Source organism: Homo sapiens, chromosome 4 (genome assembly GCF_000001405.40).
Source record: "Homo sapiens chromosome 4, GRCh38.p14 Primary Assembly".
Classification (NCBI taxonomy): Eukaryota; Metazoa; Chordata; class Mammalia; order Primates; family Hominidae; genus Homo; species Homo sapiens.
Genome location: NC_000004.12, coordinates 189,867,276 through 189,885,125, shown reverse-complemented (window position 1 = coordinate 189,885,125; position 17,850 = coordinate 189,867,276). Strand labels below are relative to the sequence as shown.

General features: G+C 41.0%; 2 long non-coding RNA genes across 3 annotated transcripts in view, besides 4 other annotated features; one reads left to right on the top strand and one right to left on the bottom strand.

The window, feature by feature from the left end:
- Window positions 1–17,850, top strand: part of FRG1-DT (FRG1 divergent transcript) — a 176,343-nt gene that overhangs the window by 55,608 nt on the left and 102,885 nt on the right. The window lies entirely within an intron of this gene.
- On the bottom strand, window positions 258–3,611 carry LINC01596 (long intergenic non-protein coding RNA 1596). Its single transcript, NR_132380.1, has 2 exons — window positions 3,229–3,611; window positions 258–466 (listed from the first exon to the last, which is right to left on the bottom strand). It is a non-coding gene; the product is annotated as a long intergenic non-protein coding RNA 1596 (long non-coding RNA).
- Window positions 2,898–4,097: an enhancer, noted in NCBI's record as "BRD4-independent group 4 enhancer chr4:190802184-190803383 (GRCh37/hg19 assembly coordinates)". NCBI's record gives its function as "activates an origin of replication core promoter dependent on BRD2, P300/CBP, MED14 and CDK7 cofactors, and independent of BRD4, by STARR-seq in HCT116 cells {active_cell/tissue: HCT116}" and the evidence as "EXISTENCE:reporter gene assay evidence [ECO:0000049][PMID:35650434]".
- Window positions 2,898–4,227: a biological region, named in NCBI's record as "BRD4-independent group 4 enhancer GRCh37_chr4:190802184-190803383".
- Window positions 3,210–3,718: an enhancer, noted in NCBI's record as "H3K27ac hESC enhancer chr4:190802563-190803071 (GRCh37/hg19 assembly coordinates)". NCBI's record gives its function as "activates a minimal SCP1, AML or CMV promoter by ChIP-STARR-seq in primed H9 embryonic stem cells {active_cell/tissue: H9 hESC(primed)}" and the evidence as "EXISTENCE:reporter gene assay evidence [ECO:0000049][PMID:30033119]".
- Window positions 3,719–4,227: an enhancer, noted in NCBI's record as "H3K27ac hESC enhancer chr4:190802054-190802562 (GRCh37/hg19 assembly coordinates)". NCBI's record gives its function as "activates a minimal SCP1, AML or CMV promoter by ChIP-STARR-seq in primed H9 embryonic stem cells {active_cell/tissue: H9 hESC(primed)}" and the evidence as "EXISTENCE:reporter gene assay evidence [ECO:0000049][PMID:30033119]".

Sequence of the window (17,850 nt, the reverse complement as noted above, 5' to 3'; positions counted from 1 at the left end):
TACTCTGCACGGTGCCAGATATTGGATATGTAGGTGCCAAACATTTGCTTTTCTAATTTCTTACATTTTATTTCTTAAAGATCAGCCTAACCATGTTGTAAGAGGGATGATTTCCTTCCTTTGTTTTGAAAATTTGTGCATGCCCAATGCTTACATTGAGCAGTTCAATGTCACTACAGCTTTTTTTTTTTTTCTATTTTTGCCAGACTTTCAAAACTCTTAAAACTCGTTTGTGGTCAGCACAACAAGGAACACACTTTAGCTTTGAAAAAAACTTTAACATGAAAAAATGCACTGACATTGTTTTTAATGTAACATAGGCTAGAATTTACCTATGTTTGCACATGCTGAGAATTGTCCCACCAGGCTGACGTGTTCACCTCTTCAGCTTGGATCCTGTTGTGGATTTTTTTACAAACATCAATTGCCTTCAAGCCATCCTTTCTGCTGTATGTTTTGCAGCCTTCTATAGTAGATACGCAACAGATAATGTGGAGAAAAAAGACACAAGAGGAGGAAGGTAATGAGAGACTTTGTCAAGGTTGTAACCTTCTTGGTTTCTTTGAAGAATTTGTTGCCTTTCTACTATGACAGCAAAGCAGCATTTTGTTACTGACCACCTAAAACCACTTAATCTCAGGTGAATGCATCACTTGCTATTGGAACGCTATTTGTGTTTTGTTGCACAATTTTTTGGTTGTTTATTTGGTTGGCTTTTTGGAAGGTAAATTTGGAAAGGGGACCTACACAGAAGTGCTGACCCACCCACATTCCCTTATTATCATTACAGACAAGAAGAAACTAGCAGAGCTAAGAATGGAGTGAAGAAAGGCAGTGTGATAAGCACCAGCAAAGAGTTGAGGGCTGTTGCTCTCTAAAATTATTATTTGATTATTTTAAAAATATGGACGTTTTCTAGTCACTGAAGAAAGGAGGGGAAAGTGCACTTATTTTTATATAGAGTTACTTAACTACCTCCTAAACACATACATGAAAATTGTTTTTGCTGGTGCAAAGTATTTTAATTAGCAAGAATTCATATATTGAGATTATAATTAGAGAGCTCAATTTATATATTTGCTATCCTGCTCAAGCCTGACATGGCAAAAAAAAAAAAAAAAACCATATAGCTTCAAAATAACAAATACTGGAAAGTTTGCTGTGATAACTATTTTGTACTTTTGTACAAAAAACCTAAAGAACAAATTACCTAAAGAACAATTTGCTAAACATGAGAAATCGCTCCCTTTGAGTATATACAGGTAAGATAGGAAGAGCTATCAGACCAGTAAATTATAGTTTATATTGAAGATAATATTCAATTGACTCATAACAAATAACGAGCATTCATGATAACATTTCAGCATTTCCAAGGTGCCAAGTGTACTGATTTTTTAAAATATATTTTAGAAGGAATTTAGATCTGGTGTTTTTAATGAAAACCAGCATCTCTGATGTTGCAATATGTATGTGAAATGGGTGTTACATCTATCCTGCCCTTTAACCCCACCGTTAACAAAGTGGCTGAAAATAACAGTAAGAAAAAATCAGTCTAAGGGAGAAAAGGACTAATGCTCTCAATTCTCTCTCTCTCTCTCTGTGTGTGTGTGTGTGTGTGTGTGTGCATGTGTGTGTGTGTGTGTTAAGGAGGATGGCAGGAGGCAGTCTTAACTCTTGAAAGAAACCTTCTTTGTATAGGAAGCATATTTTGGTTTAGGTACAATGATAAGAAAGTTTAATTATACAGTCCATAAGACCAGATACCTTCAGATTTTTCCCTGCGGGGATTTCTATGACTGGTATTCTGACTAGTGTGAAATGATAGGTTTGTATGTCTATATCTACACCCATCAAAGCCTCAGAGCTTCCTGCACTGCTATAACTTTTCTGTTAACTCTGGGTAAATTAGGAGGCTGGTACAAGGAATAATTTTAACTTCAGATTTTACAGTTTGTTTATGTTAAGGGCAGAAAGATCTACTTTTCAATGGTCTGTATTTTAAGATAGATATTGACTTTTCCTGGTGCTATTTTATGATTATGGAGAAAATAGAATTCTTATTAGAAATCTCAACTCCGAATTGAGAATAGATGTTTTGATACTTGTCCTGCTGTGGCCTGAGACTTGGAATCATGAAATAAAAGAGATCTTGCTGTTTATCTACAGATTAGAACACACAAATAAACAACAGTGTAACATCCTCATTAGCATTCTGGTAGTTACATTTACTTATTCCAGAGCAAAATTAATATATGATAAGAAGTAGAATATTTTCTGTGGATATCTAGGGTATTATGACAACAACCTTCCTTAGAAAAGAAACAGTGTGTTATGAGGACAGTGGATGCTACAACATTACTTGCCTTCAAGGCATTGCAAACAACTGGAATCAATTGAATAACCTTCTCAAGCACAAGCCAACAGTGAAATGAAAGTCATTTATCTGAAACAGCAGGCAAGAGCTTCATTGGTACACTTGGAAGGTGGCTCACTAACCCTGCCGAAGCTTTGCTCCATCTGATCAGGGCATAAATGTTTCATTGGCCCAATAACCAAGGTGTTTGGGTTTCACAGTGTTTTCTCTCCGACAGCTAATACGGGGAGCATTGCTGACATTCTGCCATGGTTGCCCAGGCTGAAATCAAACGTGCTTCGAATAATACTATAAACACTTTGAAATGAATCTTTGCCGTAGGAACCAATGTTCAACTGTGGGCTCTATTCAAAGACACTTAAGGTGGGAGGGAGCAAACTTTTCAAGTTGGTTTTAGGTAACAGAAACAGACGTCTTTATTGGATTTGCCTGGAAAAAAAGTAAGGAAAATCCCACCATTGTCTGTTCTGGGTCAAGAAGTATAAGGCTCAGTCCCGTTTTATTTCTCTCCTTCTCCTTTGGATCCTTTTTCTTATTCTTGACTCTATACATGGAGAAAAAGTTCAAGTGCCTCTAAAGCAGTAATGCTGGGAACTTGCCAACTTATTCCCATGATGCTACTGTTGCTTATAAAGCATTTTGAGGACTCTTGTATTCAGAGCTAGTGATAAGCTGTAAGAGGAAGTCAGTCTTGGTGTACAGCTGCGTTTTGGGCTCATGTATAGAAGAGCTAACATGGATTTCAGAGTCTCCCAGGTGTTTAAAATCCAAGCTCTGCTCTCAGGACCTGCGAAGGCTTAGATAAGTTGCTCAATCTCTTTGAGCCTCAGTTTTCTGAGTACAATGGCACATACCTTACAGGACTGTGGTGTGGATGAATTGCGATGATGTGTATGAATCCAGCTCAGAGTCTTCTTTCCTTCCTTCTTTCTTCCCTGCCACTGAATTTCCACCAAGCTATACTTCTCAGGTCTGACTCCTGAGAGGCTAGACACACAGTGAAGCTTGATGCTTGCTAGAAACTGAGGGGCTAGGCTTGAGTGTTAGGGAACCTGGGAATGACATCGGTCATCCATCCGGGAAGGCCGAGGAGGAAAGCGAGGCAGGGCAGCAGAGTGGGAAGTGGTAACCATGGAGGCCACCTTTGGGCTGGAGCCTGCTCAAGGCACTTTAGTGCTGAGCCATTTGGGGCCCAAGGTAGGGGCAGACAGCAGAGAAGGACGGCAGTTATCGCCTAGTCACAGGGGCAGATGGAAGAGAAGGATGGCAGTTATCGCCTAGTCACAGGGGCAGATATTAGAGAAGGACGGCAGTTATCGCCTAGTCACAGGGGCAGATGGAAGAGAAGGACGGCAGTTATCGCCTAGTCACAGGGGCAGATGGAAGAGAAGGACGGCAGTTATCGCCTAGTCACAGGGGCAGATATTAGAGAAGGACGGCAGTTATCGCCTGGTCACAGGGGCAGATATTAGAGAAGGACGGCAGTTACCGCCTAGTCACAGGGGCAGATAGAAGAGAAGGACGGCAGTTATCGCCTAGTCAGGAGTTTAACAATCTCTATTTCCTTTCAAACCTCGTTTCATCCCTTCCTTCCCAGTGAAATTCACAGGCAATTAAACTTCCTCCTGCATCTCGGAGCAGGCCCCTGCATCATCATTTCTCCTCTGCAAGTGTATCTTCTTCGGGCACGTGGGAAGGTCTTAGTTCACCTGGGTATTTAGGGACTTGATCCTCTTTCCTCTTTATTGTCAATGTTGTGGCTTGCCGAGGTCATGACAGAGTCTGGTTATGACATGTTAGCAATCGTCACCTCCCATTTTTGAGTAAATATACTTTTATGCAGTTTGAGCTCCCATTCGTGTCATTTATTAATTTGTTCATTTGTTAACACATTCATTTGTGGAGCATTTGGCCTAGAAAAGAGAAGAAACCCTTCCTTAGCAGTAAGGGAGAAGAGAAAACAAAACGCACAGAGATACATGCTTGGTTTTGTATAACTTTTGACAGTTTCTAAAATAAAATAAGGTCTAACTTGGAAAACCAAAACCTATCACTGAGATATTTTCATAATCTAAAAAGTCAGTTTCAAAAGAACTTCCAAAATGTTTTAAAAAATGACTATCCTTTAGAACAATGATGTAGCATTCCAAGGTTTTAGTGTTCAACCAGCATTTATTACCGCCTGCTGGGTGCCTGAGGCAGGACAATTGTAATGAGAGCCACAAACATGATTTGAAAAACCGCTGCCCATAGGTCCACAGTTCCTGTCAAAGCATAGAGCCCCCTGTAGACAGAGCCCCCTGTATAAGGTGCCCTGTGTTCTGGGTGAGAGACTACGCTTGGTCCGCAGGTATATCTGGTGGGCAGAACAGGAAAGGTGTCACTGAGGAGGTGCTATGTGAGTTAGTTGTGAAAAATGAGTACGGGTTTATGAGGCAGATATGAGAGGCACTTTGTTGAAGTTACAACTCCTACCAGGCGCTCGTTTGAATTTTCTGTGTCATTTGCTCTTTGGAGGTTGCTTGTTGGTACACTTACATTTTCTATGCCCAGCTAAAAAGAGAGGAGTGAGTGTGTGTGTGTGTGTTTGTGTGTGTGTGTTTGGTATTTTTCTCAGAGTTTCTTTGTGTTTCCAAGCTTACTTTAGAGCTGAAGCTTGTCAGAGTTTTCATAACAAACGCGTGATTGAACTAAATTCCAACCGGCCGCCTCTGGCGTTGGAGCCTTACGGCACCTCAGTGCATTGAAGGGGTGTGCTCTACCCTCTACCTTCGTGATTTATTTAAAGACCAAATCGTAATGAATAACAATTCTTAGGTTTAAACCTATAGCAGGGGTAGGAAATAGTTCAAACCTTCTGACTTACATGAACAAATGCAATCTTCAAAAACTGTTTTCTAATCTGCGTGAATGTACTGAACTCGTTGCCGCCTTCATTTAAATGTGATGTATCAAAAGTGCTTTGTAAACTGTTAAATTCCAACGTTGATATTGTCATAGATATACTTTATTAAATACTGGATAATGATTTCATAAAGTACAGGGTTTTTAACTGTGAAATTATTCTGAAATATGTAGAAAAAATTTGAAATACTCTTCCCATTTTGAACACAATGATTGTTTTTAAAATTCCCTTGATTTATATGTTTGTATACTGTGGATTCTCAACTGAGTGAATTACTGTCTTTGCAATGTAGTAAGATTTTGATATCGTTTTTAATCTATCAAGGAAAGGGCTAGATAAGTAGCATCTCATTTGTCTCACATCCCATTATTTGAAAGATGATTTCAGACCATAGGAAATACTGACTCTCCTTTTCCTTTTTTTTTCAGGATACATTATAGCCACTTATTTGCCCATCTTTGCCTCAGTGGATTTTAAGGAGAGGCCCCAAGGCTTATACATGTTTAGACCCCAATCCCTGGAGTAATCACTTAGTATTTTTTTAATGAGCAAATAAACAAATTAATAAATAAAAGAATAAATGGGTGAATGTATGTGGATATACCTCCAAACATCCACATGTATGTCATGTATGTAAATTATATACTAAGAAAATCTCAAAATTGAATTATATAAATTTTAATGGACAGTTTGACTTTAGTCTTATTATTTTCTTTTTTTTATTATTATTATACTTTAAGTTTTAGGGTACATGTGCACAACGTGCAGGTTTGTTACATATGTATACATGTGCCATGTTGGTGTGCTGCACCCATTAACTGGTCATTTAGCATTAGGTATATCTCCTAATGCTATCCTCCCCCCTCCCCCCACCCCACAACAGTCCCCGGAGTGTGATGTTCCCTTTCCTGTGTCCATGTGTTCTCATTGTTCAATTCCCACCTATGAGTGAGAACATGCAGTGTTTGGTTTTTTGTCCTTGTGATAGTTTGCTGAGAATGATAGTTTCCAGCTTCATCCATGTCCCTACAAAGGACATCAACTCATCCTTTTTTATGGCTGCATAGTATTTCATGGTGTATATGTGCCACATTTTCTTAATCCAGTCTATCATTGTTGGACATTTGGGTTGGTTCCAGGTCTTTGCTATTGTGAATAGTGCCGCAATAAACATACGTGTGCATGTGTCTTTATAGCAGCATGATTTATAATCCTTTGGGTATATACCCAGTAATGGGATGGCTGAGTAAAATGGTATTTCTAGTTCTAGATCCCTTAGGAATTGCCACACTGACTTCCACAATGGTTGAACTAGTTTACAGTCCCACCAACAGTGTAAAAGTGTTCCTCTTTCTCCACATCCTCTCCAGCACCTGTTGTTTCCTGACTTTTTAATGATCACCATTCTAACTGGTGTGAGATGGTATCTCACTGTGGTTTTGATTTGCATTTCTCTGATGGCCAGTGATGATGAGGATTTTTTCATGTGTTTTTTGGCTGCATAAATGTCTTCTTTTCAGAAGTATCTGTTCATATCCTTTGCCCACTTTTTGATGGGGTTGTTTGTTTTTTTCTTGTAAATTTGTTTGAGTTCATTGTAGATTCTGGATATTAGCCCTTTGTCAGATGAGTAGGTTGCAAAAATTTTCTCCCATTCTGTAGGTTGCCTGTTCACTCTGATGGTGGTTTCTTTTGCTGTGCAGAAGCTCTTTAGTTTAATTAGATCCCATTTGTCAATTTTGTCTTTTCTTGCCATTGCTTTTGGTGTTTTAGACATGAAGTCCTTGTCCATGCCTATGTCCTGAATGGTATTGCCTAGGTTTTCTTCTAGGGTTTTTATGGTTTTAGGTCTAACATGTAAGTCTTTAATCCATCTTGAATTAATTTTTGTGTAAGGTGTAAGGAAGGGATCCAGTTTCAGCTTTCTACATATGGCTAGCCAGTTTTCCCAGCACCATTTATTAAATAGGGAATCCTTTCCCCATTTCTTGTTTTTGTCAGTTTGTGAAAGATCAGATAGTTGTAGATATGCGGCATTATTTCTGAGGGCTCTGTTCTGTTCCATTGGTCTATATCTCTGTTTTGGTACCAGTACCATGCTGTTTTGCTTACTGTAGCCTTGTAGTATAGTTTGACGTCAGGTAGCATGATGCCTCCAGCTTTGTTCTTTTGGCTTAGGATTGACTTGGCAATGCGGGCTCTTTTTTGGTTCCATATGAACTTTAAAGTAGTTTTTTCCAATTCTGTGAAGAAAATCATTGGTAGCTTGATGGGGATGGCATTGAATCTATAATTTACCTTGGGTAGTGTGGCCATTTTCACGATATTGATTCTTCCTACCCATGCTGACTCACCTTTTCTAAAAAGACAACTGATTTTCTTATGCTTTTAAGTTCAAATGTATCTTGTCTCCTTTTGATTAATTAAAACAACACGTTATCAAAAACTTTAACAGAAAATATTCTTATTATTTATTGAATCAGAAGAGAAACAGGAAATACTGTGCTTTCTTGGGCCTGTTTCCTATACCCCAACATCATAAGAATTGTTGTTGCTTCTATAATGTTCAGCTTCAAATTATTTTGCTTGATCAATCAAAATGAATTACCTGAATTTTCTCCTCCGTTCAAAAAGGAACTGCATTCACCTACCTACCCCCAGCCCTAGGACTGTTTCTTTTATTCCAATAGTTTGTGATATCCTTGACTTCACAGCAGAAAGCTGTGAGTCTCCCAAACCCCTTCAGTCAGGTCCCGTGGAGGCTGCCTTCTAAAGTCTCTTCGGTCTTCTTTCTTTGAATGTTCATGGCCACCTTGTTGGTTAGACTCTTATCCCTGACTGTAAGAGATCCCTCAGGTCTTCCTGCCTGTGGCCATGCCTAATTTGTAACCTTCCTAAAATGTGATGTGATCATGTCACTGCCTTGCTTAGAAGCCCTGCACTGGCTTCCAACACATGCAGAATCAAGTGCTTGCTGTTTAACATGGTCTACCCAGTCCTCCAGATTCTGGCTTCCAGTTATTTTCTCAGCCTCAAAAAAGCACCTCACTCTCAAACATATCAAATAGCTTGAGCCCTCCTGCCTCCTGTTCATACCACCATTCCTTCCCCTCTACCTGGATGCTCCTCCCTTCAGCCGCCCCTCCAGCTGTAAGCTCCCATGGATTGACTGGTTCTTGAGTGTTTTATTGCACTTTGGACCTCCCGTCTCTCACTCCTGGCTTCTGTCTGTCTACTTGTCTTGACCCGCCACTTGCACTGCCTCTGGCTTATCTGCCTAATTCTGGTTGACAGTGTTATTTGTTAGCTTCATATCTACTGGCTCTCTCAATTATTTCTCAGCCTCCCCACACCAGGCTCCTTGCCCTGTATTTATAAGCTGCTATTGGCTTGAGGGTGACTGTGACTTTCTAATAAAACTATTTTATAGACTGATAGTTACAAGGGTATAGTAGAAAAGAAATGAATCTACCTTTGAGTGTATTTCAACATATCTAGTGATCCATAAATATTTTCTTCTTATTATTATCATTATTGTTATTTTTAAATAGACAATCAGGGAAGGCAGAGTCTAGGCCACCAATCTGAACTTAGGCATTCATCTTTATTAAGATATTTGGGATCTCTGCAAGTATTCTGAATTTTAAATGGCATTCAGTGATTCGATAAAATAGGAATTTTGTTTTACTCTGAACTGAGTAGAGTTTCAGCAACTGGCTGGCTACTGTGTCATTATTTCTATAAGTTCAAAATGTAAAAGGAACATTTACCTTTTAACAAGGGAGTATCCCGGGTCTCAGTTCTCAACCGTTTTTCTAGGTGCACTCATGCCTCTGTGATCTCATGAAGCCCAATGGCATTAAATTCCATGTGTGTGTGCACGGTCCATGAATACATATTTCCAGCTCCTACCTCTCCTCTAAAATTTAGACTCATATCTAATTATCTGCCAGTTATCACCACTTGGAAGACTAATAGACAACTATCACACATCCATAAGGGAATTCTTGATCCTCCACCTTCAACCCCTGGGCCCAACACTCCTCAGTCTTCTCCGTCTCAGTAAATAGCACCTCCAGCATACCAGCCGTTAGGCCAGAAAACTTGCCCTGACCCTTCTTTGTTTCTTGCACTTCATATCAGCATACACTGTTGAACTGTATTCAGAATCTGAGCTTCCCTTGCCACACCCATTGTGTACACCCTGCTTCACTTTACGTCATTGCTTTCATGGATTATCAAAATAGCCTCCTAACTCCTCTCCCACTTTCTCTTTCTCCCTGCACTTTGTTCTTCACTGAGCAACCAGAGTAAGTATTTATTTTTGTTTTTTGAGACAGAGTCTCCTCTGTCACCCAGGCTGGAGTGCAGTGGTGCAATCTGGGCTCACTACAACCTCTACCTCCTGGGTTCAAGCGATTCTCCTGCCTCAGCCTCCCAAGTAGCTGGGACTACAGGCATGCATCACCAAGCCTGGCTAATTTTTGTATTTTTAATAGAGACGGGGTTTTGCCATGTTGGCCAGGCTGGTCTCGAACCCCTGACCTCAGGTGATCCAGAGTAAGTCTTTTTAAAGCATAAGGCAAATAATATTTTCATCTGCTTAAAACCTTCCATGGCTAGGAATGTCTTAAACCATCTTGTCCCCTGACACTTCTCTGATCTCTAGTCCCATCAGTCTCCCCTCTATTATTGCAATCTTCAAAGACACCAGGCAGATGTGCTTCTGCCTCAGGGCCTTTGCATGTGTGGTCCCCTTTGCCTGGAATGCTTTCTCATCAGGAATCAGCATGGCTTACTTCCTCTCTTATCCAGGCCTTTGCTTAATTATTAATTATTACTCTGTCATAAGAAGAATCTTTTCTGACCATTTCACTTAAAATGGCACCTTCTTACTCTCTATTCTCTTATTTTACTTTATTCTTCTTTAAAGCACTTCTTATCATCTGACCTATCTTGTATACACATTTTCAAATTTCTTCACTGGTTGCTCCCACTTTGCCCTATGCAAGCTCCATGAGAGCAGAGACTGTTTTGTTAATTGCTGAATCTCTATCTCTTAAAATAGTTCTTGGCATAAGTAGGCATGCAGGTTAGTATTGCATGCATGAATGAGGACAATAACAGGCCCAAATTCTTCTGGAAAGTTTTTCCTCAGTCTTGAGGCTAGTTTACTCTCATCAGGTTTCTGGGTTTCTTGACCATTAACGACTCACTGTATCTCTGTCCTATTTACAGACACACGTTGGAAATATTGTGAGTTCGGTTCCAGACTACACTGCAATAAAGTGAGCCACACATATTTTTTGGTTTTGCAATGCATGAAAGTCATGTGAACACTATATTGTAGTCTATTAAGAGTACAATTTCAATATGTCTGAAAATACCAATGTACATGCCTTAATTTAAAATAATTTATTGATAAAAATGCTATTGATCATCTGAGCCTTCAGCAAGTTGTAATCTTTTTGATGATGGGGGTCCTGCCTCTATGTTGATTGCTGCCAACAGATCAGGGTGGTGGGCACTGAAGGTTGGAGTGCCTGTGACAATTTCTTTTTTTTTTTTTTTTTGAGATGGAGTCTCAGTCTGTTTCCCAGGCTGGAGTGCAGTGGCAGGATCTCGGCTCACTGAAACCTCTGCCTCCAGGGTTCAAGTGATTTCTCTTGCCTCAGCCTTCCAAGTAGCTGGGATTATAGGCACCCAACACCATGCCTGGCTAATTTTTGTATTTCTAGTAGAGACGGGGTTTCACCATGTCAGCCAGGTTGGTCTCAAACTCCTGACCTCAGGTGATCCACCAGCCTCAGCCTCCTAAAGTTGTGGAATTACAGGCATCAGAAATGGCGCCTGGCCAGCAATTTCTTAAAATAAGACGACAGTGAAGTGTGCTACATCAATTGACCCTTCCTTTGATGAAAAATTTCTCTGTGGCATGTGATGCTGTTTAATAGCATTTTACCCACAGTGAAACTTCTTTCAGAATTAGAGTCCATCCTCTCAAAGCCTGCTGCTTCTTGATCAACTAAGTTTATTGAATATTCCAAGTCCTTTATTGCTGTTTCAACAATGTTCATAGTATCTTCACCAGGAGGAGATTTCATCCCTCCCAAAAAAAAAACACCACTTTTCTTTTTGCTCATCCATAAAAAGCAAGTCCTCATTTCATCAAGTTTGATCATGAGATGCAGGAATTCAGTCACATCTTCAGGCTCCACTTCTAATTCTAGTTCTTTTGCTCTTGCTCTTTCTACCACATCTGCAGTTATTTCTTCCACTGAAGTCTTGAATTCCTTAAAGTTATCCATGACAATTTTAATCAACTTCTTACAAACTCCTGTCAATGTTGATATTTTGCCCCCCTCCCATGAATCATGAATGTTCTCAATGGCATCTAGAATGGTGAATACCTTCCATAAGGTTTTTAGTTTACTTTGCCCAAATCCATCAGAGGAATTATATGACAGCGATAACCCTATGAAATGTATTTCTTAAAGAATAAGACTTGGAAGTTGAAATTACTCCTTCATCCCTGAGCTTCAGAATGATCTTGTATTAGCAGGCATGGAAACAAAGTTGATTTCCTTGTATATCCCCATCAGAGCTCTTAGGTGTCATGGAGTACTAATATTTTGAAAGAAAACTTTTTCTCTGAGCAGTAGGTATCAACAGTGAGCTTAAAATATTGAGTAAACCATAGTATAAATAGACGTGCTGTCATTCAGGCTTTGTTGTTCCATTTGTAGAGCACAGGCAGAGTAGGTTTAGCGTAAGTTTTAAGGGCCCTGGAATTTTCAGAATGGTAAGGGCACATTGGCTTTAACTGAAAGTTGCCAGATGCATTAACCCGTCATGAGACTCAGCCTGTCCTTTGAAATTTTGAAGCCAGGCATTGACTTCTTCTCTCTAACTGTGAAAGTCCTAGATGACATGTACCTCCAGTAGAGAAGGCTGTTTTATCTACACTGAAAGTCTATTGTGTAGTGTGGCTACCTTCATCAGTGATCTCAGCTAGATCTTCTGGGTAACTTGCTGCAGCTTCTCCATCACACTTCTTGCTTCACCTTGCACTGTTATGCTATGAAGAGCACTTCTTTCCTTAAACCTCATGAACCAATCTCTGCTAGCTTCAAACTTTTCTTCTGCAGCGTCCACACTTCTCTCAGCCTTTAAGGAACCGAAGAGAGTCAGGGCCTTCCTCTGAATTAGGATTTGGCATAAAGGAATGTTCTGGCTGGTTGGGCCTTCTATCCAGACCATTAAACTCCACATACCAACAGTAATGCTGTTTCACTTTCTTAGCATGGTGTGCTCACTGGATTAACATCCTTCAAGAACTTTGCCTTTGCATTCACAGTTTGGCTGTTTCATCCAAGAGGCCTAGCTTTCAGCCCGTCTCATGTTTTGACATGCCTTCCTCACTAAGCTTAATCATTTCTAGCGTTAGATTTTAAGTGAGAAATGCATGAGACTCTTCCTTTTACACGAACAGTTATAGGCCACTGTAGGATTATTATTTGGCTTGTAGGATTATTAATTGGCCTAATTTTCATATTGTTGAGTCTCAGAAAATAGGGAGGCCCAAGGAGAGGAAGAGAGATGGGAAAACAGCGGGTTGGTGAGGCAGTCAGAGTCCATACAGTATGTATCAATTAAGTATGCCATCGTACATGGTTGCAGCTCATGGTGCCCCAGAACATAGCAGTAACGTCAAAGGTCACTGATCACGGAGCACCATAACAAGTATACTAATACATTTTGAAATATTGCTAGAATTACCAAAATGTGACACAGACACAAAGTGAGGCTATGGCATTTGAAAATGGCACCAAAGCTTCTGGTTAGCTGAACACGTGGAGGTTCGTAGAGGAGGGTAGTGTCCAGGGAGGTGAGGAAGTGCCATGCCACATCCCCCATACCGTGCCTTATGTGTCTTTTCACCTGTATCTGTTGTAGCATCTTTTGTGATAAGCTGGTAAACGTGTTTCTCTGAGTTCTATGAGCTGTTCCAGCAAATTAATCAAACTCAATGCGGGGATCATGGGAACTTCAACCTGAAGCCAGTCAGTCAGATGTTCTGGAAGCCCAGACTTGCAACTCGTGTCTGGGAGTCTGGGGAGAATCTTGGGTACTGAGCCCCCAATCTATGGGACCTGATGCTATCTCAGGGTAGACAGTGTCAGAACTGAATTCGAGGACACCAAACTTGTGTCTGCGCTTGATGCATGGGGAAAAGACCCCCATACATTTGGTCATAGAAGTCTTCTTCTGTGCTGATGATTTTTGTGGTGTGAGAGTAGAGGGAAAAAAAACAAGGTTTGAGAGAGTTTTTCCCTACATAATTGTCAGTGAAGTGGGATTTGCTTAAATGGCCCTGACTGATGGAAGCATGTGCTTTGAAAAGAGAAAGGATTAAAGGGTGGGAGGATGAAGAATCTTCGATTCCCAGGTGGCCACGTGGTCACTCATGGTATGAAGCTGCAGCTATGTTGAGATCAGTTACTAAAGGTAAAAGTTATCAGCCGAATTTAGAGATGGATCCAACCTCCCAGGAATTAGTTCACTGGATGCATAAGGAAATGCAAACTAACAAGAAAAAAGCAAAAGATTCAGTCCCTTGGTTATTGTTATCTATAATGGCTAAAATGAAAGTTAAAGACGGTGCTGGGTAAGGCCTTGAGGCTGGAATAAACTCAGATGTGGGTCTGTCTCAACTCAGGCCACCAGCCTCAAAGCCACCCAGAAAGGGGAACATTAAGCCTGGACACCAGAAAGTACCTTCAGAACTGTGGTCACCAAGAAGGCAGTGAATGTGGGAGAAGGGAAAATCCAACTACTGTTGAAACCAGAGGGTGTCCTGTGAAGGAACTGCTCCATTTTGAACATTGATATCATTAACTTCTCGAGGAACTTTTACTAAAACAGATCGAGAGTGACTAATTTAGGAGCAGCGTCTCTGGTTTTAAATGCTGCAGAGTGGAAGAGTTGTTTGGGCTGGTGCAGGACCCACACTCACTATTGAACAACCACAGATGGGTATATGTGATCCAGACACACAGGAGGTTATTCATGCAGGAACAGCCAGACGAGTGGACTAGAGAAAAGCCACAGGAAGGTCTGTTTTCCGTGATAAGCAGATGGTCCAACTCCACCTATAAATGCCAAGCAGAGCACCCTAGATGACCCAGCTGATATGCTTTGTATGTTGGGGCACCCCAGATGACCCAGCTGATATGCTTTGTGTGTCGGAGCACCCCAGATGACCCAGCCGATATGCTTTGTATGTGAGCCGTGTGGGGCTGACTTTATGATGACTGGGATATTCCCCAGCTGAATAGGCCTGTTACCCAGGTCATGATAAATGCTGTGAGTAAAGGGGCTCCTTCTACATGGGCACCCTTTGTGATATTACTCCTACAGAATCCAACAACAACTCCAAAAGCCTTAACAAATTTGCTATCTCAGCTTCCCCTGTAATCTCAACGATTTGGGAGGCTGAGACAGGTGGATCACTTGAGGCCAGGAGTTGGAGACCAGCCTGGCCAAGATGGTGACACACTGTCTCTACTGAAAATACAAAAATTAGCCAGGTGTGGTGGTGCATGCCTATAGTCCCAGCTACTCAGGAGGCTGAGGCAGGAAAATCTCTTGAACCCAGGAGACGGAGGCTACAGTGAGCTGAGATCGTGCCATTGCACTCCAGCCTGGGCAACAGAATGAGACTGTCTCAAAAAAAGAAAAAAAATATGCAATTTACTCCTCTACAAAGTCAGTAATAAAGACGGGGAAAATAAGTTCAAAAGTAATCCCTCTGTTACAGCATTAGAGACTCTCCTTCATCCCCAAATGTAATATGCTATTACTTAACCTTACCTTTTGTTTTCTTTTATTTAGTTAGTTGAATCCCTTTCACCATGTTCATGGTAAAAGAAACGTGGCTCAATTTTGTGAGTTGAATTAGACAAGTCCCTGATTTTTCCTGTTTGTTAAATTTAGGATACTTTCTTTTATGAATTAGCATTATCTTAATCAAAAGAGCTTAATGAGATTCACTTGGCATGACTGGTAAGGTAATTATGTTTCAGAATTTACTGAAAAAGAAAAGTTCTTTTATTTGTTATGCTTTCAAGGAGTAGAAAACAGCAGTTGAAAATTGATACTGAAAAGGGTCAAAGTATGTTGGGGCATGGTTGAGCTCCTTTGAAACAGACTGGTGGGAAAGAAGTTTGTGTAAAGTTCAGCCTGTGTCTGCAGCTGAGCCTCTGAATGAGACACACACTACAGAAAGAACACACGGGCTGTGGCCATTCAGCAACTGAGCACCTATCCCAGGCACTGCGACTGCAAGGATGAGTAAGATACACACTCCCTACTCTGCAGACGTGTTATGCTGGGGTCCCAGGCACTGCGACTGCAGATGAGTAAGATACACACAGTCCCTACTCTGCAGATGTGTTATGCTGGGGTCCCAGGCACTGTGACTGCAAATGAGTAAGATACACACAGTCCCTACTCTGCAGATGTGTTATGCTGGGGTCCCAGGCACTGCGACTACAAGGGTGAGTAAGATACACACGGTCTCTACTCTGCAGACGTGGTATGCTGGGGTCCCAGGCACTGCAACTTCAAGGATGAGTAAGATACACACAGTCTCTACTCTGCAGACGTGGTATGCTGGGGTTAGCACAAAGTGGAAATGCAGGATTTTCTCATTTCAATACAGGATGATCAAAGCTCATACGCAGGAGGTTCAGGGTGCTGTAGGAGCACATTGGGGGAGCACCTAAACTCTTTAGAACTAACTGATGATGAATACAGCTTATATTTGGAACTGTTGGTAGGAACGGTATAAAAAAGTTGGGTAAATGAGAATAGTGTACTAGTTTATTTATGTTAGTTAGCACAGAGTAATAATGTAGATGATTTAGTTAGCATAAAAAATAATTTTTAAGGCCAAAGAAGAAAGACACATGAGAAGTTTTTAGTTTCACTGTTGAAAATACACATTGCACACTATATAAGTCTCATAAAAAACATAAGAACATGTGTAAATGCAACGCATATGAAGCTGTAGAAAGAATAATGTTGCATATTATTCACTTATTACTCTTTTTTTTTTTTTAAATGACACAGAGTCTCGCTCTGTCGCCCAGGCTGGGGTGCAATGGCGCAATCTTGGCTCACTGCAACCTCCGCCTCCTGGGTGCAAGTGATTCTCCTGCCTCAGCCTCCCTAACAGCTGGGACTACAGGCACCCTCCACCACGCCCAGCTAATTTTTGTAATTTTAGTAGAGACAGCGTTTCACCATGTTGGCCAGGCTGGTCTCAAACTCCTGACCTCAAGTGATCCACTCGCCTTGGCCTCCCAGAGTGCCAGGATTACAGGCGAGAGCCACCGTGCCTGGCCTCACTTATTACTCTTGACAGCACAATTATAGGTACTTAGTAGACATTTAGTTACTTAGTTGTTAGAATTCAAGGAGATTCTGAGGGGTATAATTAGTTGAAACTGCAATTCAGCAATGACTGTATCAGAAGACCATTTTCAATGAACTTACTTCTAATGACTGAGATGGAGGAGCTGTACCAGGGTTGCATCCCAAGTGAGGTCCACATCAGAGAATCTGGGGCGGGACCATCCAGCCACTTCCCTTACAGGGAAATAGGTTTCTCTTTCTGGTGAACTTCCTGACAGGCCCTTTAGGCTGGTGCTTTTGGTAAATCCAAGGAATGGAGTCTATTTTGGAATCCTGAAATACTCAAAGATGGCTTTGTCTCCCAGGAAGGGCATCACAAGTGGCATTTGAGAAGAAGCAGATGCAGGCAGGTCACTCTCTGACCCCCCAGGAGCAGATCATAAGACCTCATTTGAGAGGAAGAGTCCTTATACCCAGAAGAAAGAAACATCCTTATCTCTGAAGACACAGGGACACAGAGAAGAATTTGAACACACAGGCCTTGCTAAGTTCCCCCAGTTTATCTCCATGAGAGCATACTCACTCTGTCCAATTGTACCAATACCTGAGTCCACTGTTCATCCAACCTAACTAAGCACTATGATACACAAGATTTCCTGTTTCTTTGGGTCATTTTCTTATGAAGACTCCTGTGCCACATAAAGCTTTTTAAATACATGTGTACACTTTTCTCTCAATCTGTACTTTGTTACAGGGGCATCGGCCATAGTCCTAGTGATGGGTGAGGAAAAGAAACCTTTCTTCCCCTACAAAGGAATAAAAAAAGAATTATTGGGTATATATATTCTCAACCCAAAGAGAGAATTCCATTCTATGTGTCTTATTTCCTCCCTATGTTTTATTATTCATGGACAGACCCTCTACTCTTGATCCATTTGATCAAAAAATCTGTGAAGACTGCATCCTGGACTGTGGCCCTAGAATGGAGTGTCTTGCAGCTGTGTGTGAAACTGGATACTTGTGGACTAGAGCTCCTGAGTGAGGAGAAGAATTAATGACCCCCGTGAAGCCATCCAGTGAGCTCTTAGGATGAGCTGATAAAGAATTTGGGAGGACTCTTGCTCTGGACTTTCTGGGACAATTTCCTTCTTCA